At 47.4% G+C, this 22,762-nt stretch overlaps 3 annotated features.

Annotated features, from left to right (window-relative positions):
• Positions 14,502 to 14,641: a promoter, noted in NCBI's record as "-90 to +49 core promoter". NCBI's record gives the evidence for it as "EXISTENCE:reporter gene assay evidence [ECO:0000049][PMID:11960979]".
• Positions 14,502 to 14,848: a promoter, noted in NCBI's record as "-279 to +49 promoter". NCBI's record gives its function as "drives expression in kidney" and the evidence as "EXISTENCE:transgenic organism evidence [ECO:0001131][PMID:16412259]".
• Positions 14,597 to 14,641: a protein binding site, noted in NCBI's record as "-90 to -47 Sp1 site". NCBI's record gives its function as "positive regulation of promoter activity" and the evidence as "EXISTENCE:protein binding evidence [ECO:0000024][PMID:11960979]".

A 22,762-nucleotide genomic window follows, 5' to 3' on the forward strand; every position in this document is an offset into this window, starting at 1 on the left:
TGTTTTCAAAGTAGCAAAGTTATGGAATCAACCTAGATGCCCAGCAGTGGACTGGATAAAGAAAATATGGTTTGGGCCGGGAGCAGTGGCTCATGCCTGTAATCCCAGCACTTTGAGAGGCCAAGGCAGGAGGATCACTTGAGCTCAGTTTGAGACCAGACTAGACAACATGGTGAAACCCCATCTCTCCAAAAAACACAAAAATTAGCTGGGCATGGTGGCTCAAGGACCTCTGGTTCCAGCTACTCAGGATACAGAGGCAGGAGGATTGCTTGAGCCCAGGAGGCAGAGGTTGCATTGAGCTGAGCTGCTCCATTGTACTCCAGCCTGGGCAACAGAATGAGACCTTGTCTCCCCAAAAAAAAAAAAAAAAAAAAAAAAAGGAAAAGAAAAGAAAAAATGTGGTACATATAAATCATGGAATACTACACAGGCATAACAAAGAATGAAATCACCTTCTTTGCAGCAACATGGATGCAGCTGGAGACCATTATCCTAAGCGAATTAATGCAGAAACAGAAAACCAAATACCACATGTTCTCACTTATAAGTGGGTGCTAAATATTGAGTACACATGGACACAAAGAGGGGAACAATAGACACCAAGACTTACTTGAGGGTGAAGGGTGGGAGGAGGGTGAGGTTCGAAAAACTACCTATCGAGTACTTATGTTCACTACTTGGTGACAAAATCACATGTACACCAAACCCCAGTGACACACAATTTTCCTGTGTAACAAACTTGCACATGTACCCTCTGAACCTAAAAAAGAAGTTGGATTTCATCCATGTCCCTACAAAGAACATGAACTCATCCTTTTTTATGGCTGCATAGTATTCCATGGTGTATATGTGCCACATTTTCTTAATCCAGTCTATCATTGTTGGACATTTGGGCGGGAAAAAGAAAAAGAAGTTGGAAGAGAAAAATAAAGAAATAAAAACCTTATTCTGAGAAGAGTCTGTAGGTTTCACCAGACTATCAAAGAGTCTATGGCATAAAACAGGTTGAGAACCTGCATTAGAAAAAGGAGAATAGCTATGAGGTAAAGGCACCGGACAAAGTCTTCATAGGCAGAGAAGCAGGATTCACATGTTGAGGGAAGCTAGGACCCAGAATGATGGAGAGATAGAGAAAGCTGGTGAGGGAATGATGATGATGGTAACACGTCATCACTGATGATATGAATGAGGTTGATGGTAACAGTAACACAGCAGTTATTATTTACCGAGTGGGTCACAAAGTTTCAGACGCTGACTAAGCCCCTTGCAAACATGATCACATTCACTTTTGACAATAACTGTACAAAGGTGTGAATGCTATTTCTCTTTTACAGCCTAGGAAACACAGCCCCAGATATGTCCCGGGTCTACTCTCGGGTCTCCTAGCTAGCAAGTCGTAGAGCTAGAATTCAGGCCATGGGCTGCCTGATTCCCCAGCTTGTGCCCTTACTCACTCGTCCATTCTGCCAAGCGCAGGGAAGGTCTTGTTCTCATTTAACCAATGAAAAAACTAAGGCTCAGAACGAGTAAAGTGAAGCCAAGCCCAGGATCTCAATATGCTTAGGAAAAGCAGGTGAGATTTCTCCCTTGCTTCACTGCTACTGATTTCCTTCCTTATCCCTGATGGTACCTCCAGGGCCTGGGAGGCTCAAGGAACCTCGTGCCAGTTCTCTGGGCATCACCATCAAAGCTCAAATCCTGCCTAGTCTTCCTTTAACACAACATATGGCTCAGATTCTTCCTTCCAATTTTTTTTTTAGATGGGTTCTCACTCTGTCACCCAGGCTGGAGTGTGGTGGCATGATCACGGCTCACTGCAGCCTTGACCTCCTGGGGCTTAAGCAATCCTCCCACCTCAGCCTCCTGAATAGCTGGGACTCCAGGAGCATGCCACCACACCTGGCTAATTTTTATTTTTATTTTTTTGTAAAGACAGGGTTTCGCCATGTTGCCCAGCCTGGTCTCTAACTCCTGGATTCAAGTGATCCTCCTGCCTCGGCCTCCCAAAGTGCTGGGATTACAGGCGTAAGCCACCACACCTGGCCCTTCCTTCCCATTTTAGCCATTGAAGCCCTCCTGCTATCAGGCCTAAATAACATCATAGCCTCTTAATTCAGCTCCCCAATTCTAATCCATGCTCCCCATGAATGCGAGATGTGTCTGAACATGAGTTTCTCAAATTGGGGTCCCCTGGGGGTCCACAATACACTATGATCACGTTGTAATTGCTTTAAGTTATAGGATATTACCATCATCCTTTTCTGAATTAACTGATCACTATCTAATCATCATGCACTGCCACATGATTCTGGTGTCTGTTCCGCACTTGTGTTTGTGATGACAACTGTGCTGAACTGTCTCACTTTAATTACTGCGCAATGACAAGAAAATATCATGGACATGATACAGAAATGCCCTTCTTTGTGCCTGGTAAAGGCTCAAGAATGGAATGCCATGCTGTATGAACAGAAGGTTCACAGAAGTCTGAGAAGGGGAAAGTGGAAAATCACAGAGGTCCTCACAGAGGCAGGGGAAAATCAAAAGAACTCTCTGGAATAAATACATTTTAAAAATGATATGTGCTGATTAAGCTCTTGAAAAAAGAACTGTCTGGGGAGTGTGTCCACTATTCAGATTGTGAGTGGCAGTTTTGTCTCGGCAAGACATCACTGTGCCCACCACAGACATGTTTTTAATTTGAATTTTATTGGTTTTGTAATTGGAATCATATTTAATTTGCAGATTTGTTTTGGTTTTATAGCAGTAGATAAGATATAAGTGAAGAACTTATATCTGCTTTTATGCCAACATACATTTAAAAAACATCATAATAGAAATATTTTATGGTGACATTGGCAAAGGGGAGGTGTCTGTGAGAATAGGTACCCTTTAAAAGCATCCCATGTTAGCCGGGCATGGTGATGCGTGCCTGTAGTCCCAGCTACTTGGGAGGCTGAGGCAGGAGGATGGCTTGAGGCCAGGAGGTTGAGGTTGCAGTAAGCTGTGATCATGCCACTGCACTCCAGGCTGGGTGACCAAGCAAGACGCTGTCTCCGTTAAAAAACGAACAAACAAAACAAAACAAAATGGCCAGAGGTCACATGGTAGCTCAAGCCTATAATCCCAGCCCTTTGGGAAGCTGAGGTATGTAGATTGAGCCCAGCAGTTTAAGGCCAGCCTGGGAGACATGGGGAATCCATGTCTGTACAAAAAAATTTAAAAAATTACCAGGCATTGTGGAGCATGCCTATAGTCCCAGCCACTGGGGAGGCTGAGGTGGGAGGATCACCTGAGCCCAGGGAGATTGAGGCTGCAGTGAGCCATGATCATGCCATTGCACTCCAGCCTGGGTGACAGAGCAAGGCCCTGTCTCAAAAAAAAAATTAAAAATGTTTATCATCACTGGCCATCAAAGAAATGCAAATCAAAACCACAATGAGATACCATCTCACATCAGTTAGAATGGCAATCATTAAAAAGTCAGGAAACAACAGGTGCTGGAGAGGATGTGGAGAAATAGGAACACTTTTACACTGTTGGTGGGACTGTAAACTAGTTCAACCATTGTGGAAGTCAGTGTGGCGATTCCTCAGGGATCTAGAACTAGAAATACCATTTGACCCAGCCATCCCATTACTGGGTATATACCCAAAGGACTATAAATCATGCTGCTATAAAGACACATGCACACGTATGTTTATTGCGGCACTATTCACAATAGCAAAGACTTGGAACCAACCCAAATGTCCATCAATGATAGACTGGATTAAGAAAATGTGGCACATATACACCATGGAATACTATGCAGCCATAAAAAATGATGAGTTCATGTCCTTTGTAGGGATATGGATGAAATTGGAAATCATCACTCTCAGTAAACTATCGCAAGGACAAGAAACCAAACACTGCATATTCTCACTCATAGGTGGGAATTGAACAATGAGAACACATGGACACAGGAAGGGGAACATCACACTCTGGGGACTGTTGTGGGGTGGGGGGAGCGGGGAGGGATAGCATTAGGAGACATATCTAAGGCTAAATGACGAGTTAATGGGTGCAGCACACCAGCATGGCACATGTATACATATGTAACTAACCTGCACATTGTGCACATGTACCCTAAAACTTAAAGTATAATAATAATAAAATAAAATTTAAAAAAATTTTTTTAAAGCATCCCATGTTTGGAAGATGCTGACCCGCTTGCCACTTTGCAGATTACATTTACTGTTCAAATTGTCACCCATTTGGAGTAAATGCTTCACATGCTTCACCTGGCCTCTGTATCCTGCTGGGTTGGTGGACAGATCCTCTGCTTCAGTCAAACGGGTAGATATAACATCCTTCGAGTCGTCTGTGTGGTACTTTCACCTACAGTTAAGGATGGGGTGTGCTGAGTGCTCAAACTAGCACCTACAACATTGATCAGTGTCTGCTAAATGATAACCACTATTAATATGAGCATGATTGCCTCTTCGAGAGACTGCAGAAAGAGATGTCACATGTGCTGGCATAAACCCCCTCTCCTGATGTTCCTGTCTCTGCATCTTACAGCCTGATCATGAGAATAGAAGAAAAATCAAGGTAAATGTGTTATTCAAAGTAGAGAAATGCCTGGGAATGAGTTTTGGGAGCCTCCATCATGTTGTGGGAAAGAACATTCTGGATTAGGGAATACAGAGACTTAAGGGTAGGGCCCAGCTCTGTATGTCCTTGGACAAGACACCTAGCCTCTCTGAGCCTCTAGCTCTGCTATGTTGAATAGGACAAAGGATCATTCTAGCCCTGCTCACTTCATGGAGCAGGCGGCAGGATCAGTGAGGTCAGGGATGTGGAAGGTGGAAGTGACAGTGACCTGAGGGGCTGCCATTATTATTGCTAGAGTGACAGTGATGAGGCAGAGTTGGAGAGATGCTCAGAGAGCTGGCAAATGAGGGAAAGATAGAGAGAGAGAAGAGTAACTCTATTGCCTTCACTGTCTGTCTTTTCTCCAGAGCTAACTCAGGCACATACAGTTGCTATAAATTTTCCTCCCAGCCTCTTCTCTCAACTGGGTTCAGCTCACACAGACTCTCTAAGGCTGCCGTGGTGGCAGCTGAGGTCCCAGTAGAGAAGCTGGAATAGTTACCTTGCAGCACCATAGGAAAAAGAGGGAGGACACAGGTGAGGGGCACGGCTGCTCAGAGTGAAGGGGGCCCATGGCTGAGTTGTGCTCAGCTCAGACCACACTGGGCTCACTGAGGGCCTGCAGCTCTGCATTGACCGTTGGTTCATCCCAGAGACATGTGCCCCAGGAGGGCCCTTCTCTCCACATGTCTTACTTCCTCTATGGAGGAGGAGATGGAATGAGATGCTCTTTTTAAAGGCACTCAGAATGTGAGTGACTTGATGAGAGTGGGTGGGGAATGTCTCATCCGTTTCTGCAGTCTCGAGCCCAGTAAGACAGGATGAGAGTAAATGTTTAATGCATGTTGGGTGAAATAAACGAGTAGATGGAAAGATGGATAGGTGGATAGACAGATGGACAGAACAACGGATGGATGGATACATGAACGGGTGGTGGATCAATGCATGAGTGGGTGGACAGATGGATAAAAGGACAGTTGGATGGAGTGAAGGAAAGCTTTAATACAGCAGGTCTGAGACAACTCTCCTGAGAGCCCTCCTTGCAAGGCTCACCCTTGGCTCACAACTGGGAAATTGGATTTTGGGAGGGTTTCCAAAGTTCCTAGAATTGATAAGAGTAGCTCACTATGGTTTATGTTAAATGTCCATTTTTCTTCTGAGAGTCTGGAATTTTGGTTTATTTTAGGCAGAGTGTGCCTACATGGCCCACCCCCGTAAAAACCTTAGGCACAGAGTCTCTAATGAGCTTCGCTGGCAGAAAACATTTCACACGTGTTGTCACAACTTGTTGCTCCAGGAATTAAGTGTGTTCTGTCTGACTCCACTTGGAGAGGATTGTTGGAAGCTTGCTCTTGGTTTCTCTGGACTTTACCTCATGCATCTTTTCTCTTTGCAGATTTTGCTTTGTATCTTGCACTGGAATAAATTCATGAGTGCAACTGTATACTGAGTCCTGAGTCCTCTCAGAGAATCAACAAACTTGGGAATGCTCTTGGGGACCCCAGTTACAGACAGATGGATGGATGGATGGACAGATAAACTAATAAATGGATAAATTAAAGGTAGATAGATGAGTGATGTCTGATAAGCTATTGATAAATGTATGGATGAGTAGATGAACAGGTGGATGGACAGACAGATGAATAACTAGGTGGATGGATGGACAGACAAATGACTAATAGGATGGGTAGATGTATGTATGTATGGATGGATGAATGGCATGCATGGAGGGTTAGCTGGATGGATGGATGGTTGGATGGATGGATAGATGAATGCAAGGATAGATGGATGGTTGACATGCATGCATGGGTGGATGGATGGATGCATGGATGAATTCATGGATGCATGGATGGATGGATGGATGGATGGATGGATGGATGGATGCATGGGTAGATAAATGGTTGGATGGATGGATGGGTGGATAGATGGTTGCATGGGTGAATAAATGGTTGGATGGATGAATAGACGGTTGGATGGATGGATAGATGGATGCATGCATGGATGGATGGTTGGCATGCATGCATGGGTGGATGGATGGATGCATGGATGGATGCATAGATGCATAGATGTTTGGTTGGTAGGATAGATACATAGATGGATGGGTGGTTTCATGCATAAATGGATGGATGGATGGATGGGTGGATGCATGAGTGGGTGGATGGTTGGCATGCGTGCAAGAATGGATGTATGGGTGGATGGATGGATGCATGAATAGATGCATGGGTGGTTGGATGATGTGTGTGTGTGTGTGTGTGTGTGTGTGTGTGTGTGTGTGTGTGAAGGGTTAGAAGGAGTGATCTAAATCTTTCAGATGCTCTAAAGGCCACAGATTTTAATGGCCACGAGAGTTCCTCAAAGGCTCAAGACTATTCACACCTAACTTATTTGTCAGGAATGAGTCAGCGCCTGGGGGATTTTTACTTGGCGAGATCAGAATTTAATATTGTCACCGCTTATATACTCATATGGGCACCTAGAGGATTAACTATATGCATAGTAGTGTCCGTGATGAATAGGAAGGTTGGTTTGGGGCATAAGCTCAGATTGCAGGAGCAAAAGGAGTAGAAAAATGCATCTGGTTTCTCAAATCTGTGGGTATTACTGGCCAACAGCACTACCAGCTTCCCAAAGACTGAATTTGTTTTCTCTGGTTTGGGTTTGACTCTATAAAAATATTTGGTCTTTATTTGAGATCTTTTGTTTCCTCTTGCAAGTATTAAATGTCTCTTTATGATTCATTGTTCTGGAGGAGTCATGGTGAGCATTGCAAACCCATTTTTTCCTGTTTTCTTTCTTGAATGATGAACTCTACTTTGATTAAACATTTTTATAATAATTTTCCTCTTAATTGAAAAGTGATTTTTAAAATGCATTTGGCAGAGGGGGACAGGGGATGTGTTAAAGTTACAGTCTCATTTATTCCTAATGAAGTGGAAGGGAAATGGAACCCAGGGGAGGAACAGGATGAAAAAAGAATACTGGAAAGTGATGGAACCAAAGGAGGAAAGAAAGAATACGATGAATGTGAGGGGGCTTTGAATAAGCATCTTGTTTTGTACATAAGCACTCGAGTTAGAAGAAATAGAGAAACTAACAGTCGGAGCTGCTACCTGGCCAAAGACCAATTCTCTGTGACTCAGAGGCACTGCCACCATCTCCCTCTGAGCCCATGGGCCTCAGTTTCTACATCTGTCAATGGGATGAAGCCATCTTCATATGGCTGCTGAGGGTCTCAGGAAATGATGAATGGGAAAATGCAAGCTGTAGGATGCTACACGTGGGGTGGGTGGGTGGCGTGAGGGGTGAAGAAGGTGGGGTGAGCTTCCAGACTCTCCTAGCTCTAAGAATCCATAAGTAATGAAAATACATGGATATGTATCACACTCACAGATTTATACTCTCTCACACAGTTACACATGCACACACCTCTCACACGGATTCTCACACATCTCACACAGCCACACCCTCTCTCACACACTTGCAGACTCATTATACACACTCTTCCACACCCATAGACACACCATTAAATACACACACCCTCACACAGATACCAACTCCTCACACACACACCTTCACACATGCTTCACACATACACACCCCCTCACATGCACACTCTCAACATCACTTCTCACACTCACCCTTAAACACATCTTTGCATGCACAGAACCCTCACACACACACTTTACACCCCCTTACACACACTCCATACACACACACCCCCTCACATGCACACTCTCAACATAGTGTCTCACACACACCCTTAAACACATCTTTGCATGCACGGAACCCTCACACACACACACACCTTCTCTCACACACACCCTCACACACACACTTTACACACACACCCTTACACACACTCCATCCACGCACACACCTTCACATGCACACCCTCAATATAGCCTCTCACACACACCTTTAAACACATCTTTGCATGCACACAGCCCTCACACACACACCTTCACACACACACCTCCCTTCACATACACTTTATGTACACACACATCCTCACACATACTCCATATACACCTTCACATGCACAATCTCAACATAACTTCTCACACACACCCTTAAACACGTTTTCACGTACATAACACTCACACATACCCCCTCAACATATCTTCTCACACACACCCTCAGACACACTCCATACACACACACACACCCTCACATGCACACTCTCAACATAGCTTCTTACACACACCCCTAAACACATCTTTGCATGCACATAACCCTCACACACACACCCTCACACAACCGACACACTCCATACACACAAACCCTCTCACACACACTGACACACTCCATACACACACATACACCCTCACATGCACATTCTCAACATAGCTTCTCACATACACCCTTAAGCACATCTTTGCATGCACAGAACCCTCCCACGCACACACACACACACCCTCACACACACCGACACACTCCATACACACATACACCCTCACATGCACACTCTCAACATAGCTTCTCACATACACCCTTAAACACATCTTTGCATGCACAGAACCCTCACACACACACACACACACACACACACACTCTACATATACACAAATGTAGGGTGCTACATGTAGGGTGGGTAGATGGGGTGAGCTTCTAGACTCTCCTAGGTCAGTCTAAGAATCCTAAGTGATGAACATACATAGATGTGTATCACACTCACAGATTTACACTCTCTCACACACAGTTACACATGCACACACCTCTCACATGCATTCTGACACATCTCACACAGCCACACCCTCTCACACACATGCAGACATACACACCCTTCCACACCCATAGACACTATTAAACACATCCTCACACAGACACCCCCAAATTCTCACACAAACACCTTCACACACCCCCTCACGTGCACATTCTCACACACAACCTTAAACACATCCTTGCAGGCACATAACCCTCACACACACACACACCCTCTTACATATAGCCCATATACACACACCCCTCACATGCACACTCTCAACATAGCTTCTCACACACCCTTTAACACGTTTGCACATACACAACCCTCACACACACACCTTCACACATGCACACACCCTCACACACTATATACACACACATCCTCACATGTACATGCTCAACACAGCCTCTCACACATACCCTTAAACAGATCTTTGCATGCACACAGCCCTCACATACACACACCTTCACACACAACCTCACACACATTCCCCAACAATCCGTCACATGCACACAAACTCTCATACACAGATGACCCACAATCCTCACATGTATTCGCTCTCACACATACCCTCACACATATGCACACAACCTCACACACACACCTCTCACACATATGCACACACACTCCTACTCCTCAGGTCCACACAGCCACCCCCCACACAGCCTCACACACATCATGTCCTTCAAATTAGCCACTTTGAGGGGTTCGGCCAAGCTATGGTGGAGAACAGAGTGTCTGCTCACTCTGCCACCAGGCCTCTGCCCCACGGATGCCCAGAAACTGCTCCTTCTGGGCTTCCAATGACCACATGGAACCAAATTTCAATGGACACACACATGCTTGTCACTCTCCTGACCCCTGGGTGATGTCTCTCTTTCTTCCCCATCCTTGGTATCTGATGACCCCAATCATGAACTTTGAGGTCCCCAAGCAAAGGGGCCCCTTCTGTCTTATTCATATGTGTATCCTCAGAGCCCGACGATCAATAAATATTTGCTGAATGAGACAGAACGAGGGTGTGAGGTGTGGAGAAAGAGATGATCGACCTAGGCTAGGGCTCGGGGCTCTGGGAGTGAGGTGCAGGGAGAGGATGTGAGGGTGCCCTTCTCAGCCAGTTTCAAGGCTTCCCTCCCTCCCCAGCTCTTGGCTAAGCCCTAGGCTCCTCCTGAGCCAGATCCTCCTCCCTATATGCATCTCATCCTTGCCTCCTCCTGAATGACCCCAAGTTTCGGTAATATTTGGAACCTGCCTCCAGCAGCCATTTCTGACTCACCTCTCAGGTCTTCCCGGGTCCCTCTGGAGTTTGGTGGGAAGGAACCTAACTTCGTTGGGAACCCAGGCCTTCTGTGATCCAATCCAGCCTCAATACACCCACACCACCATCTTCATTGCCCCAGTAGTTACTACGTGCAGGAACTGGGCTATGTGATTTGCACACAAATCCTCCCAACCATCTAGAAGGAAGGCCCTGGTGGCAGCCACATTCTAGAGTTAGGGAAACAGAGGCTCTAAGAGCAAAGTCTTTGGCTGAAGGTCAACAATGGGCAAGTGGTGATTCTGGGATTTGAACTCAGGCCCCCAGCTCTTCCTGGCCAAGTTTCCTCGACTTCCCACACTGGGTCTGGCACCCCCTTCTGGGCTTCCCCATCCAAGCAATGCACCTTCCTTGCTATCGTCATCTGTCCCCTCACATGCCTCCCCCACTGAGCCAAAAACTACTCAGGGGCAGTGGAGTGGACAACAGTGGTGTCTTTGCTAGGCTAGGGCAATGTCCCAGCTGGGAATTGCCTTAGGTCGGGAAGCTGGCTTGCCTGGGAGATGATGACACCTCCCCCACCTCCCCAACTGAGGACAGCCTAAGTCAATGACTGATGGACACAGGCGTACAAAAAACCGGTCTCCTTTTGTTTTCTGTGTCTACCACTTCATCATGAGGTCCTAGACCAATGCCTGGTGCGTAGCAGGAGCATAGTGAATGTTTGTTGAATGAATAAATGAATGTCTCTTCTTCCCCCCATCTAGACATCGGCATTTCTCAATTCCTATCCAGGTCTTCTCTAAATCTTCAAGGCCATCCTCTCCTTAACCTGCCAGGTATCCTCACCTGCTGTGTTCACCCCAGCTGGCCTTGACTCCATAGCAAAGTGCTTTGTCAGCTACCTGTACACCTCAGGAATTCAGCTGCATATAGGGGGTGAGAGGGAGTCTGAGCTGAGGGAGGTGGTGAGATCCCCACCCTAGCTCAACCTGGAACACTCTGCCTCTATCGATTTCCACAAGATTTTGTTTAGACGAAAGTGCTCTGCGCCTGCAAAGACTGAGAAGCCCTCTGACACGTTGTGTTTTCCTTCTGTCCCACCCACTCCCTTGATGGGGAGCACACCCTTCCTCACGCTGCCTCATCCAAATTTTGTAGAAAATTGCTTCTGTCCCATCTAAACTGGAACTCCTCAAGGAGGGCTGCAGCCTAGAGGTTGAAAGTGTGCACTCTGGAGTCACAAAGACCTTGGGCAAGTGATTTCACCCCTCCTAGCCTCCGTTTCTGTAGCTGTAAAATGGGAAAGTAATAGAACTAGTATCTGAGCACTGGGCAAGAGTTCAACAAGATTAATCATCTCAGGCCAGGTTCAGTGGCTCACGCCTGTCATCTCAGCTCTTTGGGAGGCCAAGGCGGGACGATCACTCGAGCCTAGGAGTTAGAGACCAGCCTGGGCAACATGGCGAAACCCCATCGCTACAAAAAATACAAAAATTAGCTGGGCATGGTGGCGTGCACACACCTGTAATCCCAACTACTCAGGAGGCTGAGGTGGGAGGATCACTGGAGGCTGGCGTGTTGAGGCTGCAGTGAGCTGTGATCGCACCACTGTACTCCAGCCTGGGCAACAGCACAAGAACCTGTCTCAAAAAAACAAAACAAAACAAAAAACAGAAGCTAAAACGCAAAACAAAAATAATGAATCATCTTGGGCCAAACACAGCGCCTGGCTCATGGCAAATAATAAATGGTACCTTCTAGTATTTGTTAAATTACCCAAGCAAGTGCCTTGGGCTTGCCTAGTAATTAATTATCAAAATTATCATACTTTCCTTTGGCAAAGGAAGTTAAACCATGGATGTATGTGAAGCTCAGTTTGCTCTGGTGTGGTTATTTCCCAGAGGCCTAAGAGGGTATGTGATAGTCATAATCCCTGGCCTCTAGCAAAAGCCACTAATTCTGGGTGGACACTGGAGATGTTCTGCATGGTATTGCCAAGTGGGGCCTCATCCTTTGCTACAAAAAGAATCCCATGTCCTGCTGTTTCTTAGACATCTAGATTTCCACTAGATCCAGGCGTAGTGTGCAAAGCCAGCTGAGAAAATTGGAAGAGGCCATGGTTTCTCATATCCCAGCTCTGCCCGTGTATCTGCCGCAGCTAGTACGGGGCTCACTCATAGTGTATCCTCAATAAATGCCGTGGAGTGAACAAAGGAATACAGGAATAAATGGATCTGAGATCTCCCATGTAATTTCAGCATCCGGCATTAGATGTTTCTTGATAAATATTTTTGGAATGAATGAATGCATTCTACGTTTGCCATCATATCCTCAGCGTTGGGCCTAGGTCCTGGCACAGAGGCCTCTGATGAATATTTATAGCAGAAATGAACTAGATCCACTGTTTCCCAGAAAGCAGCTGAGCTTCCCTTGCAGCTGCCCCCATCCCTTTCCTCTTGTCTCATACTCACAGTCCTCGGGTCCAGCCACCAGCCTGGCTTGGCGTTAGCCAGCTGGGAAAGGAATCTGGGAGAGAAAGCAAGTGAAACTCCCCAAGATGCACAATTGGGAGAGTCTCTAGCCAGCTCTCCAGGAAGCTCTGGGGGCGCTGCTCTTGGGAAACACCCCCAAGATAGACTGAGCTGGAAGGAGCCGTCTGCAGTGATTCTGTGACACTGTCACGGAGCCCTCCTCTGCATGGCTTTGGCATCAAATGCAACCACACACACACACACACACACACACACACACACACACAGAGCAGGCACTATGCCCTGCTGGACAGAATGGGCTGCAGGGATGTGCATGACCAAAATGCACCCCAGACAGCATGTGCACGCGGAAGGACACTCAGCGATGTGCACCCCAGATAGCACGCGCATGCGGACGGACACTCAGTGATGTTCCATCTCCCCAGGCCAGGCCCTGCCATCCTATCTCAAACACACTTTGCCTCCACCAAGGCAGGCAGTGGCCACAGACCACCAGGTGGTACCACCAAGTGATAACACTGTCTGTCACCACGAGGGACCCTCTCATGGATAACGGAACCTCTCCCAGCCAGGAGCTGAGGCTCAGCGTTTACAGACAGTGCAGGCTCAAGGACGACTCATGTGTCCCCCCCACTTCCTGGAGGCACTGGTGAGCTTTCCCTGTGTCCCCCCCACCCCAACATCTGTCCCATGAGCAGGCAGCCACCTCCTCCTCTGTCCCTGCTGGGATCAACTCTCCACAAGGAACCAGGAGGTGGCTGAGATCCTGCAGAGTGGCCCTGTGTGCAGGCTGCACTGGTGCCCCTAAAAGCATCTGTGGATCCTGGCCAGGGCCCTCCTTGGCCCTCAGTCGTGCTCCAGGACATGTGGCCCTCTGAAGCGCGTGGCCTCCCCCTCAGCTCCGGCCTCCAGTACAGCAGCCTCTCCACGCCTGCTTCCCACAGGGGTCTCATGCCAGCCGAGCAATGGTGCCACCCACAGCATGAGCTCTGAGGCTGGCAGGTTGGAGGGACCCAGGCTTAGAGTCCCAGACAGGCCAGCAGGGAGAACCAGCTCTGTTGGGGGTAATGAGGGCAGAGTGGAAACCCTAAAGCCTCAACTGTGCCGACTGATCCCTCCTTCACCCATCAGGTCTCCTGACACTGTCTGGGGGGAGCCCCTGCGGCTGCGTGACTGGAGGGGAAGGACACGGGGCTGGCCTGTGGTCCCCTTGTGTACCCTTAATGTAAGGCTGAGGTGACGGGGTCAGGGATGCTGTGAGGCCCTGTAACGCTTCAGGAAAATGAGCCCTACGGTAAGCCTCCACCCCATGATGCCCAGCTCGGGCACACCAGGTCCTCCTGCCTGGGGAGCTGAGCCCCCGCCTGGGTACTCACCAGCTCCGGCAAGGCCTCACCCTGGCATGGTGGCGGTCACCCCCTCTCAGACAGTGCTCCCCATCTGGAGAGGCCAGCGGCACTAATCAGCCGCCTGGCGTGGTGCAGGCCGAGCGACTGGGGTTTAATTGACACCAGGTGGCCCCTCCCCAGGGGCAGGCTGGGAGGCGGCTCTGCTGGGTTGGGAGGCCAAGCCTTGGGCAGGGGGGTTGCACCCAGACCAGGCCAGTTCAGGCTTCCCTGGGAGAGACAAGGGCAGTCAGGCAGTCACCGGCCACCCCTCCCTTCCTCTCCTGCCGGCTGCCTCCATGGCATGGCCCTGGCTTCCCCAGGCTCTGACCTTTCTTTCATTTAGAGGTGGCAGCAGCAGTGGCAGCGTCTGCCCAGGAGGAGGGTGGCTCAGGTTTCCCCCCAGCTGGCTGGGGACAGCCAGGATCGAGTGCACTGTGTCTGCAGGGACCAGGCTGTGCCCGCCGGATCCTGAGTGAGGCCACCCACGGCAGTCACAAAGGATCCCATGAACTACCTTTTATTGCACACTTACTATGCACCAGGCCAGGCATGGTGCCCACACTGTCCCCTCTTAAATCTCATGTGTCCCCAAAAGGTGGGCATTTATTAACCCACTTTGCAAGATGAGGAAACGGAGACTCAGAGAAGCTAAGCTTCTTCTCCAAGGTCACACAGTAGAAGAGCCAGAACACACATTCAGCTGTATCTGACATTGAGTCAGGGATTTTCATGGCCACCTGCAATATAGATAATGTCATCCCCATTTTTGAGATGAGGAAATTGAGGCTTAGAGAGGGGATGCCAGTTTTCAAAGTCACACAGCAAAGTACGGAACGTGGATTTGCCACCAGGTGTGTTGGGGCAGGTTGCCAGGGAAAGTAAAGTCCACTGCTAAAATACAAGCCTTCTTCCCTGACTCACATGTGTTCCTGCTTATATTAGGGCTCCAGGTTTGAGCCACAGTTTGGGGTTTAGGAGAAAGAGCACTGGACATAGAGTCAGAAAACCTGTGCCCAACTTGCTGTGTGACCTTGAGCAAGTTACTCCACCTCTCTGGGCTTGGCTGCAGCTGCTGTGAACCCCAAATGGGACATCACATGGAAAAGGCTTTGTGACTTGGGTTCACAGGGCAGGATGAGGGAGTACCAAAGTAGCCCCACTCTGCCCTGGGAGCCCTTGCCAAAGGCCCCCAACCCTGTTCTTTGTCTTTACTGCCAGCAGCGGGACTCAGCAGTGAGGAGTACACAGGTTCCGCAAGTGCACAGGGTTCAGATCCTGGCTCTGATTTGAGTCTCACAAACTGCGTGACCTTCAGAAGTCATTTTACTCTCTAGTCTCAATTTCTCCTTTCTAAAAATGTGCTCCCGGGCGCTCCCACCCTGCCTGGGCTGCGTGAAAATAAATGAGATAATACTCAGCACCTGCCTTTTTATTCAACAACATTTATTGAGCACCTACGAGACATGGGTCACTGTGCTGGGGATATAATTTTTACAGGAACAATATTCTTGTAAAAACAGTCAGTTGGCCAGGTGCGGTGGCTCACACACTTTGGGAGGCAGAGGCGGGCAGATCACCTGAGGACAGGAGCTCGAGACCAGCCTGGCCAAGATGGTGAAACCCTATCTCTACTAAAAATACAAAAAAATTAGCCGGACATGGTGGTGGGCACCTGTAATCCCAGCTACTCAAGAGGCTGAGGCAGGAGAATCACTTGAACCTGAGAGGTGGAGGTTGCACTGAGCCAAGAACATGCCGTTGCACTCCAGCCTGGGCAACAAGAGTGAAACTCCGTCTCAAAAAACAAACACACAAACAAAAAAAACCCCAAAAAACCAAAGTCAGTCACTCATGCCCCTGTGGTGGAGACAGACAAATGTAAAACCCCCACAAAAATAAATATTAATTCCTTGTGTTATGTGCTCAGCAAATAGAAGTAGCTATTATTGTTGTTGTTCACGCATTTATTCCACAGAAGAACTCACTGAGCACCTATTATGTGCCAGGTACCCTTCTAAGCATTGGGGATATAGCAGTGACCAATGCAGACATGGCTGTCCACTTTAATAATTAACCGTGACAATAAATAGCAATAATTAGCCATGACAACATATAACAATAATAATTATTATATTACTATTCTCAGGCAATGCAGGTTCTCCCCAACACATTGGATGCCCTGGTTTTCTCACTGGTAGAATTACATACCTGTCTGCTGCCATCTGGCCCTCTGGGAGCTCCAAGCTAGAGCATGGGATTCCAGAATGTTCTTAGGTCTGATCCTCAGTGAAGCTCATGGGCTCTTTTTGGTCTGACTTGCGGGCACTCTGGCAGGCGCTCATCCCCCTGGCATAGACCCAGACCCCACGTGGGTTGGGAGAAGCTGAGCCTGTGACTCAGCCAGCCTGGCTTGTCAAGCAGAGATGAGAAGGGAGCAAGCAGCTGGCTGGGCTGTTAGCCATGGGGCCCTCCCAAGCCAGGCATAGGGCAGGTGCCTGGGGGACAGAGTGGGGCTTTGAGATGACAAGGGAAGGGCTCTAAGCTCAGGTGACTGCACCCTGGTGGTGGTGGCTGTCTCTAGTAAAGATAATTTTTTTTAGAAGGAGTCTCGCTCTGTTGCCCAGGCTGGAGTGCAGTGGCACGATCTCTGCTCACTGCCACCTCTGTCTCCCAGGTTCAAGCAATTCTCCAGCCTCAACCTCCCGAGTAGCTGGGATTACAGGCATGCACCACCATGCCTGGCTAATTTTTTTGTATTTTTCATAGAGACGGGGTTTTGCCATGTTGGCCAGGCTGGTCTCAAACTCCTGACCTCAGGTGATCCACCTGCCTCAGCCTCCCAAAGTACTGGGAATACAGGCATAAGCCACCACGCCTGGCTAAGAATATTCTTATAAGAATCACAGAGTATGCTGCCTTGTGAGCGAATGAGCTTCTCATCAATTAAATAACTCCAGCAGGATGCTATAAAGGGGACTCCAGAATTGCCTGTTCATCTGTCAGATGTATCCACCAGACTGAGCTCTACCTTCTGGGTCTTGTTTACACCATCATACCTCCAGTGTGTGGCACAGAGCACATCACATAGCAGTCGGCAAATATTTCTTATATTCATATATGCACAGATCAGAATGTTCTTTCTGGCTTTGACCACATGAGACTTTGACAACAAGTAGCCCTGCCATTTTATTCATTTGTCTCTTCATTCAACAAATATATCCTGAGCACCTACTATGTGCTGTCTCCTAGGCACTGGGGATATAGTAGTGATCAAGACTGATAAAAATTTCTGCCTTCGTGAAGTCTACCGTCTCACGATTGGAATTTCATTTTTATTTTTTAGAGACGGGGTATTAGTCTGTTCTCACACTGCTCATAAAGACATACCCGAGACTGGGTAATTTAGAAAGGAAAGAGGTTTAATGGACTCACAGTTCCACGTGGCTGGGGAAGCCTCAAAATCATGGTGGAAAGTGAAGGAGGAGCAAAGTCACGTCTGACATGGCGGCAGGCAAGAGAGAGCTTGTGTAGGGGAACTACCATTTATAAAACCAACAGATCTCATGAGACTTATTCACTATCATGAAAACAGCATGGGAAAGACTCACCCCCATGAATCAATGACCCCCCCATCGGGTCCCTCCCACAACATGTGGGAGTTATGGGAGCTACAATTCAAGATGATATTTGGGTGGGGACACGGCCAACCCATATCAGACAGGGTCTTGCTTTGTCACCTAGGCCGGAGCGCAGTAGTGTGGTCATGCCTCACTGCAGCCTCAAACTCCTGGGTGATCCTCCCACCTCAGCCTCCTGAGTAGCTGGGACTATAGGCATGTGCCACCGCGCCTGGCTAATTTTTTCATCTTTTTCAGAGATGGGGTCTCACTCACGACTGGACTTTTAACTAGGTAATTTCCACAGGTGTTAATCCTGTTAATCACAGTGATAGCCATTGCCTTAGGTTTCTGAACCTTGGCCCTGTTAACATTTGGCTGGATGACTGTGGCAAGGAGCTGTCCTGTGCATTGTACGATTTTAACAGCGTCCCTGGCCTCTACCCACTAGATGCCAGTAATAACCTCCCTTCCGCCTCCACTTATGACATCCCAAAATGTCTTTAGACAGTGCCAGTGACCCTGAAGTAGTAATAACATTGTCCCTGGTTGGAAATCATAGTCATCTATTAAGCACCAACTATGCAACAGACACTTTGCATTCATTAATTTACTTAACCTCTAAAATAACTCCAGGAGGCAGGGATAATTACTATTTCCATTTTACAGAGGAGGAAACAGGAAAGACCAGTCACTTGCTTATGGTTCCCAATCGGTGCACCTAGCCCTCTGATGCGCGGCTTCCAGCACCTCCCATGCTGAGCCCATGCGCAGCTGCATAGACCAAGCCTAGAGCAGCGAGTCTCTTTCCTGGACTTTTGCAGATTTCTCTTCTGGTTCTACTCTGTGGCCTCTTGCAGAGCACAGGGATTGGGACCTTCAGAGAAGCAGCGACCACCAGAAAAATACTGCAAGCTGCAGATATAATTGTAAGTTTTCTAGTAGCTGCATTCAAAGGTAAAAAGAAACAGGCAGCATTAATTACAGTAATTAATACACTTTAATCCAGTATCATTGAGAACTATCATGTCAGTGTGTAATTAATTAAAATTTATTAATGAGACAGTTTAGTCTTTTTTGGCACCTCATTGAAATCTGGTGTGTGTTTTGCACTTGCAACTCAATTCAGATCAGCCACATCTCAAGGGTTCAGTAGCCACGTGTGGTCAGTGGCTCCCGTTTGGGGAATGCCGATCTGGAAAGTTTTGCTGACTGAGGGAATGAAGACAGGAGGCAGGATATTCTCAGCAAAATGGGCAAGGTGTCCCTGAGCCCACAGATCCTAAGGGTTGCCACACTCTACTGTCACTTTCCATTACTTGTCTGTCTCTAATGCTCGGCTGGGCTCCTCTGTGTTTATCTGTCTTTCTGTCCCTGGAGCTGAGCTCCACTGTGGGCCTTTGTAGGAGAGGCAGTTTGGAATCAGAGTGGCTGGAATCAGAGGCCAGGGTGCCATCCTGGCTTTATCATACAGGAGCCTGAGCCAGAGCCTCAGTTTCCTCATCTGTGAATTGGGGATGAATTGCTATTCCCTAGAACTTCCTGCCGTAATGGACACATGGACACCAAGGTGGTAGCCACTAGCCACGCGTGGCTATTAAACACTTGAAATATGGCTGGTGTGACAGAGGAACTGGTTTTCAAATTTTATTTAATTGTAATTAATTTAAGTGGAAGTAGCTGCCTGTGGTTCGTGGCAGTTGCATTGGACAGCACAGCTTCAGAGAGTTACTGGAGGATTAAGTATAAAGCCCCATAGCACAGAGCAGGCGTTCAGCACCTGGTGCCTTATCCCCCTGGTGGGTGGGTCCTCAATGATTGTTTGTGGAGGTCCCCTTGAGGGTTCAGCTGACTGCTGATGGTGACTGAGAGGAAATTGCCCAAGGCTGGGGACACCATCTGAGGGGATTAGAGGAAACAGCCTCTCACACAGTCCTGGGAAGAGTGCCTGTTGCTACGAGCCAGACTGGAAAGCCTCATAATTCACAGAGCATCGGTCAGATTCTTCAGAAGGGTCTTGCCTGAGTAGTGGGAAATAATTAGCCCTAAATGAAATGCAGCCCTGAGTCTGTCTAACACTCTTAAAAGCAATGATTTAGGAGCACAGTTTGGCGTTCAGACCCCAGTTCAAATCCCAGCTCTGCCTGCTGTATTACCTGCTGTGTGACTTACAGCAAATCAGTCCTCTCTAAGCCTCAGTTTCTTCACCTCTCAAATGGGCATGCATAACAACAGTGCTTACCTCATGGGGCCTTTGAGGGGACTCAATGAGCCCTCAGCAACTTTCAATAAATGGTAACAATTATTGCTGTTTGATTGCAATGGAATGCAATGGAATTTATGTTTAAAACATGCTTGGTGGATGGGCTCGTGGCTCGCGCCTGTAATTCCAGCACTTTGAGAGGTCAGGTTGGGTGGATCACTTGAGGTCAGTAGTTCAAGACCAGCCTGGCCAATATGGTGAAACCCTGTCTCTACTAAAAGTACAAAAATTAGCTGGGCATGGTGGCATGTGCTTGTAATCCCAGCTACTCAGGACACTGAAGCAGAAGAATCGCTTGAACCCAGGAGGTGGGTGTTGCAGTGAGCCAAGATTGCACCACTGCATTCCAGCCTGGGCAGCAGAGTGAGACTTCGTCTCAAAAAAAAAAAAAAAAAAAAAAGTGATCCTATGACAATTACAGGAGCGGTTGTTAGAATGTTAGAAGCAAAAGCCTGCAGAGGTGGGGGAAGGGCACACATACATGGCAACCTCTAAGAGTCCCAAGTCAGTGAGACCAAGAGCGGCGGTTCAAACCCCTGGTATCCAAGTCCAGAATCCAGGGACTCTAAAAAAACATTTTAAAGTTGATACATAGTATTTGCACATATTTATGGTGTAGGTGCGATATTTTGTTACATGCGTAGAATGTGTAATGATCAAAGTGGCCCCCAAACACTTGTCTATGAACTGTGGTCTCCACCTCACTGGTATTTGGAGAAATGAGAAAATATAAGAGCATTTACATTTTTATTCTTCAAATTAAGGCCCTACTAATCTTGGGGTAATAGATTGCCTTTCTTTTATAAAACAATGTTGATACTACGTTGGAAAGATCTTGTTTTTGTTTTGCTTTGGTTTTTTTAATGTCTTTACTTGGCAAAATAAAAAGCTGAGACAATATATCAGTATCTCTGAAGTTTCTTTTTTTTTTTTTTTTTCCTTTCATCTAATGGTCCAGGAAACATGGACTATTAGGCTGCCTGGTTTGTAAAAGTTCTCAGAATATACTTTGAATTTTTCCCATGTCTGAGTGTAGTGTTTCTCAAAGCATTCCATGGAGCATGAATCCACCAAGATATAGTGAAAAAAGGGTTCTGAAGCCAAGTAAGTTGAGAAACCTACCTACTCTAGCCTCTCCTAAGGGAGTTATAATGTTCATGGGCATATTAAAAACTGACAGGCTGGGCACAGTGGCTCACGCATGTAATCCCAGCATTTTGGGAGGCTGAGGTGGAAGGATTACTTGAGGCCAGGAGTTGGAGACCAGCCTGGCCAACATGGTGAAACCCCATCTCTACTAAAAATACAAAAATTAGCAGGGTGTGGTGGGTGGCACATGTCTGTAATCTAGCTTCTTGGGAGGCTGAGGCAGGATAGTCTCTTGAACCCGGGAGGCGAAGGTTGTGGTGAGCTGAGATCACACCACTGCACTCCTGCTTGGTCAACAGAGCAAGACTGATATGATTTGGCTGTGTCCCCACCCAAATCTCAACTTGAATTGTTATCTCCCAGAATTCCCACGTGTTGTGGGAGGGACCAGAGGAGGTAGTTGAATCATGGGGGCCAGCCTTTCCTGTGCTGTTCTCATGATAGTGAATAAGTCTCACAAGATCTGATGAGTTTATCAGGGCTTTCTGCTTTGCTTCTCTCATTTTTCTCTTGCCACCACCATGTAAGAAGTGCCTTTTGCCTCCTGCCATGATTCTGTGGCCTCCCCAGCCATGGGGAACTGTTAGTCCAATTAAACCTCTTTTTGTTCGCAGTTTTAGGTATGTCTTTATCAGCAGCATGAAAATGAACTAATATGAAGACTCTGTCTCAAAAAAAGAAGAGTGACAAGTCCTGCTGCAAAGAGCCAACTTAACTTAGTTTCACTTAGTGCCCTTTTTCTTATCTTTCTTTTTCTTTTTTTTGAGATGGAGTTTTACTCTTGTTGCCCAGGCTGGAGTGCAATGGCGCCGTCTCGGCTCACTGCAACCTCCGCCTCCCTGGTTCAGGCAATTCTCCTGTCTTAGCCTCCTGAATAGCTGGGATTACAGGCACCCACCACTATGCCCGGCTAATTTTTGGTATTTTTAGTAGAGAGGGAATTTCATTATGTTGGCCAGGCTGATCTCGAACTCCTGACCTCAGGTGATCCACCAGCCTTGGCCTCCCAAAGTGCTGGGATTACAGGTGTGAGCCACCATGTCCGGCCCCTTTTGCTTTTTGACCATATTCACTAACCTCCCATGAACACATTTCAGGAAAACTCCAAGTCCTGGATGAAGCCACTGATCTTGGAGCTTAAGGATGTGTGTTTCCTTGTTTGGCTTGTTAGCTGCTGAGATGACATTTTCCATGTTCATAAACCCCCAGGGGAGCTCCAGGAGTTATAAATGGTGCAGGAAAAACAATGACCCAA

The sequence above is a fragment of the Homo sapiens genome, chromosome 12 (genome assembly GCF_000001405.40).
Source record: "Homo sapiens chromosome 12, GRCh38.p14 Primary Assembly".
Lineage (NCBI taxonomy): Eukaryota > Metazoa > Chordata > Mammalia > Primates > Hominidae > Homo > Homo sapiens.